Source organism: Homo sapiens, chromosome 16 (assembly GCF_000001405.40).
Source record: "Homo sapiens chromosome 16, GRCh38.p14 Primary Assembly".
Lineage (NCBI taxonomy): Eukaryota > Metazoa > Chordata > Mammalia > Primates > Hominidae > Homo > Homo sapiens.
The window spans coordinates 30,642,349-30,658,253 of record NC_000016.10 but is presented as its reverse complement, the minus strand read 5'-3'; the positions used below and the strand labels follow the sequence as shown (position 1 = coordinate 30,658,253).

Genomic DNA, 15,905 nt, shown 5'->3' with positions numbered 1-15,905 from the left:
TTGTGACTCGACTGGTTAGAAGTAGGTGTTTGGGGCGGTTACTACAGGGCCCCGCCTCTTCCTGCTGTTTGTTTATTGGCCGGTCTCCTGATGGCGTCGAGGCGAGGGGCGGAGACGCGGGGCCTGAGGCGTTGGGGGCGGTTGGCCGCCGGGGGGCGCGCGGCTGCAAGAGGTTCCGTTCCACAGCCAGTTAAGTCATCGCCGCCTTTCCGCCGCTCGGCGCGGCCCACAGACAGCCTGGCGTCTCGCGCACGCGCGTGGCGGCGCCGCCGTCAGGCTGGCTGCTTGCGAGTCGTTCCGCGGCCCGGGGTGGCCCGAGCGGCCGCGTGCTGTGCCTGCGCCTGCGCCGGCCGCACTAACAGGCAGCCGCGTCCCTTCCAGGCGCGGCTGCTGGCAGCGGTCCCGAGTGCTAGCAATTCGAAAACGCCTTGCACCTGCATGAGCGCTTCTCCGCGTTTGTGACTGCGTTTGGTAATAATTCCATGAAGGAGATGCTGTCAGCCCCATTTTACTGGGACGGAAAGGAATGCGCGCACAGACGGGCTGGTAGTCTCCTAGCCACGTCTATGTCAGCCACTGCCCTGTGATGCCTCTCAGTTATGAAAGATGCACCCCACTGCTCAATGTGACTGGCTTAAAAAAAAAGAGACAGCCATTTCTGGCCTTCGGTTGCCCGGGTTACCGTTTTAAAAGTGGACAGCGCGCTGACATGCCTGCCTTGCTTTCTCGTCCATAAAATGACTAATTCCCTGTCGCAGGGACATGTGCAGGTCAAGCACCTATGACAGTCGTCGTGAGTGCTTCATTATGGCCCATTACTCTTAGCTCTTTGTTTTGTTTTGTTTTTTTGGGGGGGACAGAGTCTGGCTGTGTTCCCTAAGCTGGAGTGCAGTGGTGCGATCTCAGCTCATTACAACCTCTGCCTCTCGGGTTCAAGTGAATTCTCCTGGCTCAGCCTCCTGAGTAGCTGGGATTACAGGTACACACCAAGACACCCAGCTAATATTTGTATTTTTAGTGGAGACGGGGTTTCACCATGTTGGCCAAGCTGGTCTCGAACTCCTAGGCTCCTGTGATCCACCTGCCTCGGCCTCCCAAAGCGCTGGGATTACAGGCGTAAGCCACCGCACCTGGCCTAGCCGTAGCTCTTGAATCCAGCAGCAGGTCCTGGCCTGCATGTTAGCAGGAATTCAGGGCCATCTTGATCTTCAAGGCCTTGACCCACTATAGGCCTTTCAGTCTCCTTGATATAAATGAATTGGGAGAACCCAGACCACGGTCTAGGGTCACAGTATCATCTGGCACTGATTCAGAAGTGTCCCTCCACACAGGAGAATCCTCTAAGCAAGAGAGTATCTCTAGGCCGGGCATGGTGGCTCATGCCTGTAATCCCAGCACTTAGGGAGGCCAAAGCAGGCGGATTTCCTGAGGTCAGATGTTCAAGACCATCCTGGCCAACATGGTGAAGCCCAGTTTCTACTAAAAATACAAAAATTAGCGGGTGTGGTAGCGCACGCCTGTAATCCCAGATACTTGGGAGGCTGAGGCAGGAGAATCGCTTGAATGAGGGAGACAGAGGTTGCAGTGAGCCAAGATCGTGCCATTGTACTCCAGCCTGAGTGACATGAGCGGAACTCCATCTATATCTATCATCTATCTATCTATCTATCTATCTATCTATCTATCTATCTATCTCAAGTGACCACTTCACCCCCTCCCTGTACTCTGTACCCAACCCCTGTCACCATCTCTAGCACCAGCCCCAGTTCCCAGACCTTTGGGGGTCAACGTAGAAACATCAGCCAAATCAATCTTAAACTCAGCTAGAGATACAAAAGAATCAGAAACATATCGAAAACTTTACTAGAAATATAGAGAAAAAAAAATAACTGCCTGGGAGGTTTCCTGTCCCTTCAGGATGGATGACCAACAGATGGGGCACCTAGGTCCAGTGGGGCTGCTCCCGATCTACTGTTTCTTCCTCCAGGAGCAAGGCATCTAGCTCCTCCAGCCGCTGCTGGAGCAGGGGGCCCACATCAGGGCTGGGGGCCACATTGGGAGGAACAGTCCTGCCCCCTGCAGCCCGGACCCCACGGGACGGTCTTCGTGATCGAGGAAGGCTGCTGTCCCGAAATTCCACAGCCCGCCGGAGCTTCCTTGAGCTGGTGAAAATCAGAGTCCCATTGCGCTCCCGGGGTTCCTCAAAGATGGTCTCAAAGGTCCTGAACAAGGCAGGGAGAGGAGCTGGTTTTATCAGGGTGCTCCACAGCTCCAGATTTCCCTCTGCCACCCTCTAGCCTTCCAAGTGTCTCACCTCCTGGTTGTGGGTGATTGGTAATTCTTGTTGGTGTAAATTTCTTCCAAGCTGAACTCCTTCTTGTTCAACCTGTGAGCAAAGAGCAGAGGCCACTGAGAAACCTTGGGCCAGTGGGGCCTGAAGGGACAGGTAAGGCCTGGTCTGTATTTCAGTTTCTGGGACATGTCAGGGCCAGGAGTGCTACATAAGGCAGACAGGCAATTTTGAGCACAAACCATCCCCACACCGAATTGAATCTTTCAGGCTGGACTGTGCTCCCTGAGGGGAGACAAAGCTATACTTCAGGGGACATAAGCCTGCATCTGTTTGGCCAAGATGGCTCAATGCCCAGTGAGCCCCTCACCTGATTGGTCGAGGCAGTCCCATTGGTGTAAGGTTTAGCTGAGGACGGGCTGGTGTTCTGCGTATTCTGAATCGAGAAACCTTTCCCATGGTCTGCAAAAATGGGGCAGAGGGTGAAAGAGTGACATGGGCTCAGGCCCCCACTAGTCTCTTCTACCCGATCTGAATGCCTACCTTGGTCTCAGGTTCTGAAAGCACCTGGTCCTTTGAGGCTCTTGGCTCCTTCCCTTTGGTTGAACCCAACCTGCCAAGAAGGTCAAGGCTCAGGGACAAACAGGATTCACTGCATTATCCCCCGTCTCCTGCCCACTGGATACTCAGGGAAGGAGGCTGGGACCAGGCTGCAGCCAGGCTTCAAGGGGGTTTTTTGAGAGCACTACCTGGGTTCTGCTGGTTCGGAGAAGGAAGTGGATGCCGTGGACGAGCAAGATGTGGTGAGAGAAGGGGAGGCTCCCACTCCTCCGAGAGGGAAGACCTCTTTCCGGAGACAGGGCCGAGGGGGTGGCGGGGCTCGGGCCATTTCCCCACCACCCACAGTGTGCCGCCGCGGCCGTGGTCGGCTTGGTTGGGGTGGAGCAGGTGGCCAGGTGCAGGTACCTGGGCCAGGGGGCCCCAGATCAGGGCAGGAGTAGCTTCGGCCCAGAGAGGGCTTAGGGAGAAGTGCTGGGGTATTGTGGTCCTGAGTTCGCCACTGGCGGATTGGGGGCCGGGGGCTGACAGACGCAGTGCCCTCAGCAGCCCCAGACTGCTCGGCCTCTGAGATGGCGATCTTCAACTCCAGCTTCATTGGGGGGGACGGGGGTGGGGGCTGTGGGGTTTTGTTGGGCGTGAGGAAGATGTCAGCAAAGCTCTCCAGCTTGGAGCGGACGGAACGGAAGAGCGGGGCCAAGCCCCAGGGACTGAGGCGGGGGCGTAAAAGGCTGGACGGTGGTGGGGTGGATGGGAGCTCCAGAGCAGGATCTGGGGCTGAGGAAAGGAGAGGGTCACAGGTGGATATTCCTTGGCTGCAGTGTCTCAGCCCCTCCCCACATGCTCAACTTTGTGCACAGGGGAATTAGCCCACCCTTAAAACACTAAGTTCTGCATTTAAGAATTGAACTTCAAGCCTCTGACATCAACATCCCATCTTTATATACCAAGCCCTGCCCTGGGAGGTGGCTTAAGCCCTATCCCCAACTCTGTACCTGACACTTCCAAGCTCAACTAGGATGTCCCAGACACCCAAGTCTCATCCGATCTCTACCCAAGTCCTTACCTGTTGGTGGGCTCTCCAGAGGGTCTGCAGGCAGAGCAGATGGCTGGAATGGGGGTTCTAGGTCCCCAGGTGGAGGCGTTGGCTGGCGAACTATCCTCATGGGCTCAGCTCTGGGGTGAAGGGCAAGGTAAAGGCTAGGGGAACTTCCAGGTATCCCACCTGAGCCAGCAACTCCCCTATCCCTTAAGGCTTCTTCTTTTTTTTTTTTTTTGAGACAGAGCCTTGCTCTGTGGCCCAGGCTGGAGTGCAGGGGCACAATCTCAGCTCACTGCAGCCTTGAACTCCCAGGCTCAGGCAGTCCTCCCACCTCAGCCTCCCAAGTGGCTAGAACTACATGCATGGACCACCACATCCAACTAATTTAAAACAATATCTTGTCTGAGCATGGTGGCTCTCGCCTGTAATCCCAGCACTTTGGGAGGCCGAGGTGGGTGGATCACCTGAGGTCAGGAGTTCAAGAGCCTGGCCAACGTGGTGAAACCTCGTCTCTACTAAACATACAAAAACTAGCCGGGCATTGTGGCGGATGCCTGTAATCCCAGCTACTCGGGAGGCTGAGGCAGGAGAATCACTTGAACCCAGGAGGCAGAGGTTGCAGTGAGCTGAGATCGCACCATTGCACTCCAGCCTGGGCAACAGAGCAAAAACTCCATCTCAAAAACAAACAAATAAATAAACAAAACGTTTTGTAGAGATATGGTCACAGTGATGTGGTTGCCCAGGCTGGCCTCAAACTCCTGGGCTCAAGCGATTCTCCTGCCTTGGCCTCCTAAAGTGCTGGCATTAGGCATGGGCGTGCCCGGCCCCTTAAGGCTTTTTAAGATGCCACAAGGAAGGATTGGATCAGTCAGTCCCGATGCCCCTAGCTCTGGCTACCTGGATGATGGCTGTTGCCTGGATCCTTTGATAATCCCTACTCCAGCCCTCTCACCTTTGTGCTGGGATGATGAAGTTGGGGGTCTCATCAATGAAGCCCTGGATAAAAATAGGGGATGTTTGTGGGGAGGCAGGAAAGCCCCCTTAGTGCCCCACATCCTGACTCTTTCAGTTCCCGGATAGCTGCTTGGGTTCACGCCAAAGACGTTTTTATATAGTCTTTGCTCAGGCAGTGTCTGCCGCCTAAAATGCCATCCTCCTCACCCCAAGAAAAACCCACCTAAGACTCAGGCCTCCTACCCTTCTATCCCTGCTGGAACCCAGCAGAACCCTTGACATCCGTACCCTCAGTTCCCATACCTCAGCGGGGGGTCTAGGACTGGCGATGTCTTCCAGCATCACCACCAGGGTGGGCTGGGGGGCCCGGTCCACCTTTTGTGAAGGGCCCTCCTCTGGGCCAGGGGTTGTCCTTGATCGCCGCCTCAGGGTGGAAGAGGTCCGGTGGATGCGGCTCAAGGGCTCGCGACACAAACACAGAGGGTCGGGAGGCCTAGCGAGGGAACAGGAAGATTAAAATGGCTCAGCTGGGCCCTCGGCTTACCCCCATCCTGCCATGCTCACCTGGCCTGCGAGGACCACCCGGCCTGCCGGGGTGGCGAGGCAGGCGGCTGCCTGTGGACAGGATCCTGATGGTAGCTGTGGTGCTGTGGTATGGAGGTCTGCTTTGAGGGCACCACGGGGACCTGGAAGAGAAAGAGGTGTCAAGAGCAAGGTGATAGAATGAGGCTGGACGGGACAAGGTTTCCCTGTGCCTCACAGTGCCCTGAGCCACAAACATAACAGAGATTGGGGCTAGAATTCACTCGGATCCCAAGAGAAGAGATGAATTGGACTGAATTAGGGGCCAGATATTAAGAGTCCTAAACTGCAGGTGTAGGACCTGGGTAATCTCATCCACGCTGTTTAGAGAAATGAAAAAGACAGGGTGAGCTAGGGTGGGTCACTGCCTTTTTTGGGCCAGTTTTTCTTATCTGTGCAGTGGAGTCAAAGACCTCAGCCTGCTTCCTAAGGAGGCTGGGCTGGGAAGAAAGCAGAAGAGTTTCGGCCCAGCGCCGTGGCTCACGCCTGTAATCCCAATACTTTGGGAGGCAGAGATGGGAAGATCGCTTGATGCCAGTTTGAGACCAGCTTGTGCAACATAGCAAGACCCTGTCTCTAAAAAAAAAAAAAAGATAGAAAAAAAGAAGCAGAAGAGTTTCTCAGAGTTACAGGGATGTGGTTCCAGCCCAAAATCGTTGGTGGGTGGAATGGGCACTGCCCAATTCTAGGTTGGAGTAAGTGGGAGCCAAGCAGGACTCTACCATGAGGGAGGCTGCCTGAGGGCTGAGTACAACAATGATGGATTTGGACTTCAGTTATCCTCAGTAGGGATCTGGCCCGAGTTTGGTAGTGAGGAAAGTCATGGGGGAATAGAGAGTCTCTTGGTTCAGGGGGCTCACCATGTGAACAGCCATGACATCTTCTAGCACCACGGCCAGGACCCGCCGAGAGGCCTTTTCCAGGGGAGAAGGGGCCCCCGGGAGCTGCAGCCTCGGCCGTTTCGGGCTCCTGGCTCCCCATAATGCTCGAGTCAGAGGCTGGCGGCACAGACGCGGCTGGCCAGGCGGGCTGGAGGGTGAAAGAAGCAGAGGACGGTCGCCCGAACCTGTCGCTGGCTCTGTAGTTTCCCGGCACGGTCGCCAGGATCCCCATCTCCCGGGGTCAAGACAGGCGGGCCGCCCGGGTACGCTCTCACCTGGAGTCCCCGGGCAAGTCCATGGGAGACGCGGCGGCTCCGGGGGGGTCCCTGGGGAATCCCAGGCTGCGGCCTGGGGTAAGGGGGGAGCGGGGGAGCGGGGGGTGAGGGCCGGCCCCTTCCCTGGGGCTCCGCCCTTCATGGTCCGCCCGCGGCTCCCCGTAGCCCAGCGGCCGCAGCCCTGGGGCGCGAAAGGGCGCCCCCGGCCGGTCGCCCGGAGCGGGTGTCCTCCCGCTGCCACCGCCTCGATCAGCGGATCACTCGCGCCCTGCCTGGCACCTGCCGCCAGAACCCAGAATGCAGCGGCCCCAGTTCTCCCGCGGCCCGAGCCTCCCGAGGCCTTTGTCCCTGCAGATTATGCCCCGAGATCCCCCGGGATCCACGGGGATCCCGGTCCTGGGAGGCTATTTCCGCTGGATCCCTCTGCGATCCTCCTCCTCTCCCAGCGAGTGGCCGAGGACTCCAAAGCAATACTCCATACATCGACGACCCTCCATCCCACCAGATCCCCTAGACTGGATCCCTGAGGAAAGAATCCTACAGCGCGGTTCCGCCAATCAGACGCCGGGCGAGGCTTTTCCTTCCCCTGTAAGCTTCAGCGCCGCAAAGCTCCGCTCAGACAGGGGCGGCCCGAGCTGGAGCATCTCCGAACTCAGCGTAGATCCCCAGGGATCCACTGTCAAGCAGATACCCTCTTCACTCCAATCCCGGGAGGTCCCGCCCACAGACGCCCCTTCCCTCCTCGCGTCCCCGCCCAGCGGTCTCCCCCGGCCCGGGACCAGATGGTTCAGAAGTTTCCTTCCCCGCCCCCACTCCCGCCCTCTCTCCAGCCACTCCTTGCCCTCCCCCAAGGGCTGCTCACCGCCGCCTCCCGTGGATCCCGGGTCTTCCGCAGCTCCCACCTCCGGCTCCTTTAAAAACCAAGCTTACCCAACGCTGCCCAACCGCCGATGGCCTTCTTCTCGGAGCCTCTGGACACCGCCCAATCGCCGGTCCCCGTCTTCCGGGGTGGTGAGAAACTAAGTGAAGCCACCTGGCGGCCATCATCCCTAGGGGCAGGAAGCCAAACTGAGTGGCGCCGCCATGATGGTTGAGGGCAGATGTCTTAGTCCTCGTTGAACCGTGGTGGACCGGGTGGCGTCATCTTTTGAGGGCCATATACAATGCCAGGTTTCTTGATATGTTGAGGCAACCGATTGAAGCTAGAGTGCCGCCACGCTTTTTAAGGGCATCTTCCGGTTCTTTCGTTCTTAGGCCAATAAACGTCGACTGAGTGCTAACGATATGTGAAATTCCCAATTTCCTAGAGTGGCCTCGTTTGAGGAAGGTTCCGGCATCTTCCTGGGTTCCTAAACTGGGTTCCCACGGCCCAGGGTCCGAGTTTAGGAGGGGGTGGTGGAGGCCCTGAGTCCGAACACCCGGGATCAAAGACGGGCTGGTGCGGCCTGTGGCTCCGTTGCTGGCGCCTTGTCCTGGAGAGATGGGACCGAGCCGAAGTGGGGAGGAGACTGGGGGCGCTAAGCTTGACTTCCCCTGAGTGTTGCCCACCTACTTCTTCCTGGAGAAGTGGGGGTGCCCACGGTCCGCGCAGAGGTCTATAGGACAGGGGCATCTTTGCAGGAGGCCAAGAATATACCTTGGCTTGCTAGTGGGGCCCGGCTCTCAGGAACCACTGTCTCAAGTGGGGCCCGCAGGATGGGGGAGGTGTAAATAGTCCTGAGGAGTAAGGGATCAGGGTGGGACGCTGCTGCTTGGAGGAGCTGCGTCATGGACCCTTTACTGGAAGCTGGGCTGTTGGTGGGGAGGAAGTGGGCATGTAGTGGCTTCTTGCAGCGCTATGAAGGTGCCCTGACCGCTTAACCAAAGCCCATGTCTGCACTAGTTCTCCTTCCCCAGATTCCCTGGTCCAAACCAGTACTTCTTTTCTTTTTTAATTTTTTTTTTTTAATTTGAGGCAGGATCTCGCTATGTTGCCCAGGCTGATCTTGAACACCTGGGCTCAAGTAGTCCTCCCGCCTCAGCGTCCCAAAGTGCTGGGATTACAGGCGTGAGCGCCCAGCACGAGTCCTTATTTTGTTTTCTTAACAGAACGAGAGACCCTGAAGCCTAGAATCCTGGGTCCGAGATAAGGTGCAGAGGTGCTTCCTGGTTTAGGTGTCATAATTCTCAGGGGATTGAGTGATGAAAGTGATAAAACAGGGCCGGGTGTGGTGGCTCACACCTGTTATCCCAGCACTTTGGGAGGCAGAAGATAGCGGATCACTTGAGGCCAGGAGTTCAAGACCAGCCCGGCCAACATGGCAAGACCCCATCTCTAAAAAAAAAAATACAAAAAAATGAGCCGAGCATGGTGGCGCACGCCTGTAGTCCCAGCTACTCAGGAGGCTGAGGTGGGAGGCTCTCTTGAGCCTGGGAGGTCGCAGCTGCAGTGGGCTATGATCGCGCCACTGCACTCTAGCCTGGGCGACAGAGACCCTGTCTCAAAACAGACAAACAAACAAGGGATGATATGGAAAGCATAATCGAGAAGGGCTTATGTGGGAAATGGAGGCTCCCCAGCTCCGTCCCTAAGGACTCATGCAGGGAGACGTTCTTGCAGGACTACAGCATCTCTGTAACAGGAGGTCCGCTGGGTCCTCTGGAAACCCATTCAGACTTCTGGTGGGAGCAGGCCGCCGTGGTTCTTCCACGTAGAGGTGTTTCTCTCCCTCTGGATCAGGGCTGGCAGTATGGGTGCCTGAGGAGGTACAGTGATGTTTCATCCAGCTGTGAGTGCTTGGAGATTCTTTCAACCTTGCCAAATTAAGACCTAAACCCCACAGGTGCTTTTCAGGCCCCAGGGCAGGAAAAACTTTCAAAAGCAGAGCAGGCCTAACCTGAGTTTTTAGGTATTTTTTGTTTGTTTGTTTTTTGTTTTTGAGACGCTCTGTCGCCCAGGCTGGAGTGCAGTGGCGCCATCTCAGCTCACTACAACCTCCGCCTCCTGGGTTCAAGCGATTCTCGTGCCTCAGCCTCCCAAGTATCTGGGACGACAGGTGCTCACCACCACGGCCGGCTAGTTTTTTGTATTTTTAGTAGAGACGGGGTTTCGCCATGTTGGCCAAGCTGGTCTCGAACTCCTGGCCTCAAGTGATCTGCCCGCCTCGGCCTCCCAAATTGCTGGGATTATAGGCATGAGCCACCACACCTGGCCCTAATCTGAGTTTTGATTCTCTAGGTCTCTTGAAGTCAATGACACCAAGGGTAAAAGATGTAGTCCAAAGAAAAGTCCTGGACCTGAGTATTTGGTAGGAAGAGCCCACCAGTGTGACCCTAACTTGGGGTGCTAGAGTTCATCAAATGGAAGTCTAAGGTAGACTGTGGCAGTCTTGGCCCTTAGCCCAGGCCAGCAAATGTGAGCCCTCATGATCTTGCGGTCTCACCTCTGCTCTTTTTGTGACTTCCCATTTCAACAACTTTACTTTGCCCACTGCCTACACAGGTGGTGGACACACTGTGGGGTGTACCACAGTGTATGCTGATGCATTAGCAAGAGGGCCCCACACAGCCTCCAGTGGGGCTGCTGGTGTGGCCGTGGGTGCACTTCAGTGTGTCATTATTCAGAAACTCAGGGTCCGTTTAGACTCTGGGCGGCCCATCTTTCTTTTTTCTTTTCTTAGACAAGGTCTTGGTCTGTCACCCAGGCTGGAGTGCAGTGGTGTGATCATGGCTCACTGTAGCCTTGACCTCCTGGGCTCAAGTGATCCTCCCACCTCAGCCTCCCAAGTAGCTGGGACTATAGGTGTCCGCCACCACGCCCGGCTAATTTTTTGTATTTTTAGTAGAGATGGGGTTTCACTGTGTTAGCCAGGATGGTCTCGATCTCCTGACCTCGTGATCCGCCCACCTCGGCCTCCCCAAGTGTTGGGATTACAGGCGTGAGCCACCGCGCCTGGCCTGGACCCTTTAAATATATATATATATTTAAATTTTTTTTACCAGCCAGCATCATGCTAAGTTTTGTCAATAGATGGCTGGAGAGACATTGCAGGAAGAAAGAGTTTTGCTTCCCAGTTCAGCAAACCCTCCTGGGAGGCTCCTGCAGCACAAGTGGGTTCCCAGCTCCCTGCTTCTGCAGGGCAGGGTGGCCAGCAGAACCCCAGGGTCAGCAGCTCCCCCAGGTGCCCTCTGGATGGTTTTGCAGTGGAGTTCCTCTGTGGAGACACCTGCCCATGAACAGCTTTCCCTGGCACCCAAGAGGGTGGATTTCCAGCAAGTTCCACCAGACTGACACTCCAGCAACTACTGTACTTCAGCGACTTCTGTACTTCTGTGCCCTCTCCAAAAACTTGTGGATCTCAGGAAGGAAGGAGGTCTGTCTTTCTTTCTTTCTTTCTTTTCTTTCTTTCTTTCTTTCTTTCTTTCTTTCTTTCTTTCTTTCTTTCTTTCTTTCTTTCTTTCTTTCTTTCTCTTTCTTTCTTTCCTTCCTTCCTTCCTTCCTTTCCTTCCTTCCTTCCTTCTTTCTTTTTCCTTCCTTCCTTCCTTCCTTCCTTCCTTCCTTCCTTCCTTCCTTCCTTCCTTCTCTCTCTCTCTCTTTCTTTCTTTCGACAGGGTCTCACTCTGTCACCCAGACTGGAGTGTGGTGGCTCACCACAACCTCCGCCTCCCAGGCTCAAGCGATTCTGCCTTAGCCTCCCAAGTAGCTGGGATTACGGGCACATGCCACCATGCCTGTCTAATTTTTGTATTTTTAGTAGAGATGGGGTTTCACCATGTTGACCAGGCTGGTCTCAAACTCCTGACCTCAAATGATCCACCCGCTATGGCCTCCCAAAGTGCTGGGGTTACAGGCATGAGCCACCGCGCCTGGCCAGAAGGAGCCTTTTTCTTGTATGCTCTGTCTCCGCCTGAGAGGAGCTGTGGCTGCTCCTTGTATTAGGTTGGTGCAAAAATAACTGTGGTTTTTGTCATTAAAAGTAATGGCAAAACCGCAATTACTTTTGCACCAACCTAATATCTGCTCTTCTTGCATTTTTTTTTTTAGAATTCTGTTTACTTCTTATTATCTGTAGTGGGCAGAATTTTGTCTCCCCACCTCCCCCCCACCCCACCAAAGATATTTTCAAATCTTGAACCTTTCACTTCCTCTGAATCTGACCTTATTTTGTTGTTGTTGTTGTTGTTGTTGTTGTTGCTGTTGTTGTTTGACACAGGATCTTGCTCTGTTACCCAGGCTGCAGTGCAGTGGCTGGATCTTGGCTCACTGCAGCCCTGACCCCCTGGGTTCAAGCAGTCCTCCTGCCTCAGCCTCCCGAGTAGCTGGGACCACAGTCACATACCTCCACACCCTGCTAATTTTTATTTTTATTTATTTATTTTTTTGAGATGGAATCTCGCTCTGTCACCAGGCTGGAGTGCAATGGCGCGATCTCGCCTCACTGCAACCTCCACCTGCAGGGTTCAAGTGATTCTCCTGCCTCAGCCTCCCAAGTAGCTGGGACTACAGGTATGTGCCACCGTGCCCAGCTAATTTTTGTATTTTTAGTACAGACAGGGTTTCATCATGTTGGCCAGGATGGTCTCAATCTCTTGACCTCGTGATCCACCTGCCTTGGCCTCCCAAAGTAATTTTTAATTTTTTTTTTTAGTATAGACAAGGTCTCACTATGTGGCCGAGGCTGGTCTTGAACTCCTGAGCTCAAGCAATGCTCCCGCCTTGGCCTCCCAAAGTGCTGGGATTACAGGAATGATCCACCACGCCCAGCCATGACCTTATTAGGAAATAGAGTCTGCAGATGTAATCAAGATCATACTGGATTAGGATGGGCGGTAATATAATGACTGGTGTCCTTGCAAGAAGAGGGAAATTTGGACACAGACACATAGAAAGGAGAATGTTATGTGAAGACAGGCACAGACGTACAGAGGGAGAATGCCATGTAGCAATGGAGGCAGGAATTGGAGTGTGGCATCTGCAAGCCAAGGAATGCCAAAGATTGTCGGCAGCCACCAAAAGCTTGGAAAAGGCAAGGAAGGATTCTTGCGAGGCGGGGTGGCTCACACCTGTCATCCCAGCACTTTGGGAGGCTGAGGTGGGAGGATTGCTTGAAGCAAAGAGTTTGAGACCAGCCTGGGCAACAAAGCGAGACCCCATCTCTCCAAAAAAAGTAAAATAAATTAGCGGGGCATGGTGGTGCATGCCTGTAGTCCCAGCACTTTGGGAGGCAGAGGTGGGAGAATCACTTGAGCTCAGAAGTTTGAGGCTGCAGTGAGCTATGACTTGCATTCCAGTCTGGGAGGTGGGGTGAAGCTGAGCCCTCTTGAATGAATCTGTGGTAATTTGTTATGTCAGTTTTAGAAAAATAATACACAATCTAATCATTTCTCTAATCCTCTGTTATTGTTATATTATTATTATTTTTTTTGAGATGGAGTCTCACTCTGTCACCCAGGCTGGAGTGCAGTAGCATGATCTCAGCTCACTGCAACCTCTGCCGCCTGGGTTCAAGAGATTCTCCTGCCTCAGGCTCCCGAGTAGCTGGGACTACAGGTGCCTGCCACCACCATGCCCAGCTAATTTTTTGTATTTTTAGTAGAGATGTGTTTTCACCGTGTTAGCCAGGATGGTCTCGATCTCCTGAACTCGTGATCTGCCCGCCTCGGCCTCCCAGAGTGCTTGGATTACAGGCATGAGCCACTGCACTTGGCTATTGTTGATTTTTTTAAAATATTAAACCTTTCCTTGTTCAAATTACCATGTGGTTTCTCTGTCTTGATTTGACCCAGACTTAATCATCACCAACAAATGTAGGTACTAGTGTTTCAGCATTAAATAAAATGGAATATCTGAATTTTGAAAGTCCCCACTTGCAATTACTGTGCAGATATTTTAGAGGATGGGCCATTTGCAGGAGAGGTGTAAAGTCTGCATTGCAGACATAATCCTTAAAGTCGTTTTGAATGCTGCTGTCACACCTGAAAAAAAAAAAAAAAAGAAAATGAGCACTGATGGTGCCTCTGAGGACAGATGGCTCAGATGAAGTGGAGGAAGCTGGGCTGGGCAGCTGCCAGCTTGTCTAAAGGTGATTCCTGGCATCCTATACTTTCATGTGGAGGCCAGATCTAGGCAACATTCAGAAAGCGAGTCCAGCCGGGGATGGTGGCCTGCAACTGGAGTCCCAGCTACTCCAGAGGCTGAGGCAGGAGGATCACTTGAGCCCGGTAGGTCAAGGCTGCAATGAGCTGTTTATGGAGCCACTGAACTCCAGCCTGGGCAACAGAGTGAGACCCTGTCTCTAAAAAAAAAAAAAAAAATTTCCAGATAGAGGTGTCTGGAGATCAATACTCATGGCTAGAGTGGCAATGCTGAGGCATTGAGGTCTAAGAGACAGAAAACAGATTCACACCACTGTGACCTTTGCTCTAGAGAAAGAGGAAGGCCTAAACATGGGACAGTCAAGGTTTTTGTGGGGGCAGGAGGGCTCTAAATATGGGCTGAGGTGTCTATTTATTTGTTCAGTACATTTGTTGAACTCCAGCAATGAGCCAGACACAAAAACACTATGGTGGACAAGACAGTGAGCGTCCTTGTCTTCAGAGACAATGAAATAGACCAACACGATGAGATAAATGCTCAACTCAACTTATGTACAGGTTCCCAAAAGGGCACATTGCAGAGCTACAGGAGAATGCTTCCCAGAGAAGGTGATGAACAATGTGACTTTAAGGAAAGGGAGTTGGGAAGGAAGACTGTGCATCAGTCATCACTGCAAGTGCAGAGATCCAGGGGCAGAAATTGAGGAGAATGTAGATAATTTGGTTGTCAGCCCATCAGAGCTAACACATGCCTTTTTTTTCTTGAGACAGAGTCTGGCTTGGTCACCCAGGCTGGGTGCATTGGCGTGATCATAGCTCACTGTAGCCTTGACCTCCCAGGCTCAAGTGATCCTGCCACCTCAGCCTCCCAAGTAGCTAACACTACAGGCACATGCCACCACACCCGGGTAATTAAGAAACAATTTTTGGGCTGGGTGCGGTGGCTTATGCCTGTAATGCCAACACTTTGGGAGGCTGAGGTGGGCAGATCATTTGAGGTCAGGAGTTCAAGACCAGCCTGGCCAACATGGCAAAACCCCGTCTCTAACAAAAATACAAAAAATTAGCCCAGTGTGGTGGCTCGAGCCTGTAATCCTAGCTACTTGGGAGGCTGAGGCAGGAGAATGCTTGAACCCGGGAGGTGGAGGTTGCAGTGAGCTGAGATCATGCCACTGCACTCCAGCCTGCCCGAAAGAGCAAGACTCTGCCTTAAAAAAAAAAAGAAAAAAAAGAAAAATTTTTATAGAGATAAGGGTGGTCTCGCTATGTTGCCCAGGCTAGTCTTGAACTCCTGGGCTCAAGTGATCCTCCTGCCTCAGCCTCCCAAAGCTCTGGGATTACAGGTGTGAGCCACTGGGCCTGGCCACACGTCTTAAAAAAAAAAAAAGTTTTTTTTGTTTGTTTGTTTTGTTTTTTCTTTTTTGAGACAGAGTCTCGCTCTGTCACCAGGCTGGAGTGCAGTGGCACAATCTCGGGTCACTGCAACCTCCGCCTCCTGGATTCAAGCAATTCCCCTGCCTCAGCCTCCGGAGTAGCTGGGACTATAGGCACGTGCCACCATGCCCAGCTAATTTTTTGTATTTTAGTAGAGACGGGGTTTCACCATGTTGGCCAGGCTGGTCTCAATCTCCTGACCTCGTGATCTGCCCACCTCGGCCTCCCAAACTGCTGGGATTACAGGCATGAGCCACTGTGCCCGGCCAAAAAAAAAAAAAAAAGTTTTGAACACTCCTTTTACTCTGATGAAATTAATGAATAGATAAATAAAACATCTATAATACTACTTTTAAAAGTCAATATAGGCTGGACACATTGGCTCATGCCTGTAATCCCAGCACTTTGGAAGGCCAAGGCAAGCAGATCACCTGAAGTTGGGAGTTTGAGACCAGCCTGGCCAACATGGCAAAACTGCGTCTCTACTAAAAATACAAAAAATTAGCTGGGCATGGTGGTGTGCACCTGTAATCCCAGCTACTCAGGAGGCTAAGGTGTGAGAATTGCTTGAACTGGGGAGGCAGAGGTTGCAGTGGGCCAAGATCGTGCTGCTGCAGTCCAGCCTAGACTCTGTCTCAAAAATAAATAAATAAATAAATAAATAAATAAATAAATAAATAAATAAATATTACAGGCTGGGCGCGGTGGCTCACGCCTGTAATCCCAGCACTTTGGGAGGCCGAGATGGGTGGATCACCTGAGGTTGGGAGTTTGAGACCAGCCTGACCAACATGGAGAAACCCCGTCTCTAC

The 15,905-nt window shown here is 53.3% G+C and overlaps 1 protein-coding gene across 2 annotated transcripts, besides 8 other annotated features; it reads right to left on the bottom strand.

The window, feature by feature from the left end:
* Positions 38 to 117: a silencer, noted in NCBI's record as "silent region_7385". NCBI's record gives its function as "represses an Ori minimal core promoter by ATAC-STARR-seq in GM12878 lymphoblastoid cells {active_cell/tissue: GM12878}" and the evidence as "EXISTENCE:reporter gene assay evidence [ECO:0000049][PMID:35858748]".
* Positions 148 to 407: a silencer, noted in NCBI's record as "silent region_7384". NCBI's record gives its function as "represses an Ori minimal core promoter by ATAC-STARR-seq in GM12878 lymphoblastoid cells {active_cell/tissue: GM12878}" and the evidence as "EXISTENCE:reporter gene assay evidence [ECO:0000049][PMID:35858748]".
* Positions 1,841 to 7,476, bottom strand: PRR14 (proline rich 14). Of its 2 annotated transcripts, none has more exons than NM_001320464.3 (12): positions 7,448 to 7,476; positions 6,586 to 6,658; positions 6,290 to 6,458; positions 5,412 to 5,533; positions 5,151 to 5,340; positions 4,846 to 4,889; positions 3,915 to 4,024; positions 3,040 to 3,625; positions 2,834 to 2,903; positions 2,661 to 2,752; positions 2,315 to 2,386; positions 1,841 to 2,222 (listed from the first exon to the last, which is right to left on the bottom strand). In NM_001320464.3, exons 2-12 carry the CDS (start codon positions 6,606 to 6,608, stop codon positions 1,943 to 1,945), a joined length of 1,758 nt encoding a protein of 585 aa, NP_001307393.1. In that variant the 5' UTR covers positions 6,609 to 6,658; positions 7,448 to 7,476; the 3' UTR covers positions 1,841 to 1,942. The 2 variants fall into 2 exon arrangements, with proteins under 2 accessions (NP_001307393.1, NP_076936.1); NM_024031.5 differs by lacking the exon at positions 7,448 to 7,476 and adding an exon at positions 7,127 to 7,294.
* Positions 6,646 to 6,935: a silencer, noted in NCBI's record as "silent region_7383". NCBI's record gives its function as "represses an Ori minimal core promoter by ATAC-STARR-seq in GM12878 lymphoblastoid cells {active_cell/tissue: GM12878}" and the evidence as "EXISTENCE:reporter gene assay evidence [ECO:0000049][PMID:35858748]".
* Positions 7,206 to 7,405: a silencer, noted in NCBI's record as "silent region_7382". NCBI's record gives its function as "represses an Ori minimal core promoter by ATAC-STARR-seq in GM12878 lymphoblastoid cells {active_cell/tissue: GM12878}" and the evidence as "EXISTENCE:reporter gene assay evidence [ECO:0000049][PMID:35858748]".
* Positions 7,426 to 7,835: an enhancer, noted in NCBI's record as "active region_10716". NCBI's record gives its function as "activates an Ori minimal core promoter by ATAC-STARR-seq in GM12878 lymphoblastoid cells {active_cell/tissue: GM12878}" and the evidence as "EXISTENCE:reporter gene assay evidence [ECO:0000049][PMID:35858748]".
* Positions 7,426 to 8,054: a biological region, named in NCBI's record as "H3K27ac-H3K4me1 hESC enhancer GRCh37_chr16:30661521-30662036".
* Positions 7,539 to 8,054: an enhancer, noted in NCBI's record as "H3K27ac-H3K4me1 hESC enhancer chr16:30661521-30662036 (GRCh37/hg19 assembly coordinates)". NCBI's record gives its function as "activates a minimal SCP1, AML or CMV promoter by ChIP-STARR-seq in naive H9 embryonic stem cells {active_cell/tissue: H9 hESC(naive)}" and the evidence as "EXISTENCE:reporter gene assay evidence [ECO:0000049][PMID:30033119]".
* Positions 8,055 to 8,572: an enhancer, noted in NCBI's record as "H3K27ac-H3K4me1 hESC enhancer chr16:30661003-30661520 (GRCh37/hg19 assembly coordinates)". NCBI's record gives its function as "activates a minimal SCP1, AML or CMV promoter by ChIP-STARR-seq in naive H9 embryonic stem cells {active_cell/tissue: H9 hESC(naive)}" and the evidence as "EXISTENCE:reporter gene assay evidence [ECO:0000049][PMID:30033119]".

What these genes read in the sequence shown, in the direction of transcription:
- PRR14 (NM_001320464.3), bottom strand. Translation starts at nt 6,608, where the DNA reads ATGGACTTGCCCGGGGACTCCAG. An exon ending in ATGTCATGGCTGTTCACATG is followed by an intron (nt 5,534 to 6,289) that starts GTGAGCCCCCTG and finishes TTTCTCTTCCAG; the next exon opens with GTCCCCGTGGTGCCCTCAAA. An exon ending in TCTGGAGAGCCCACCAACAG is followed by an intron (nt 3,626 to 3,914) that starts GTAAGGACTTGG and finishes TCCTTTCCTCAG; the next exon opens with CCCCAGATCCTGCTCTGGAG.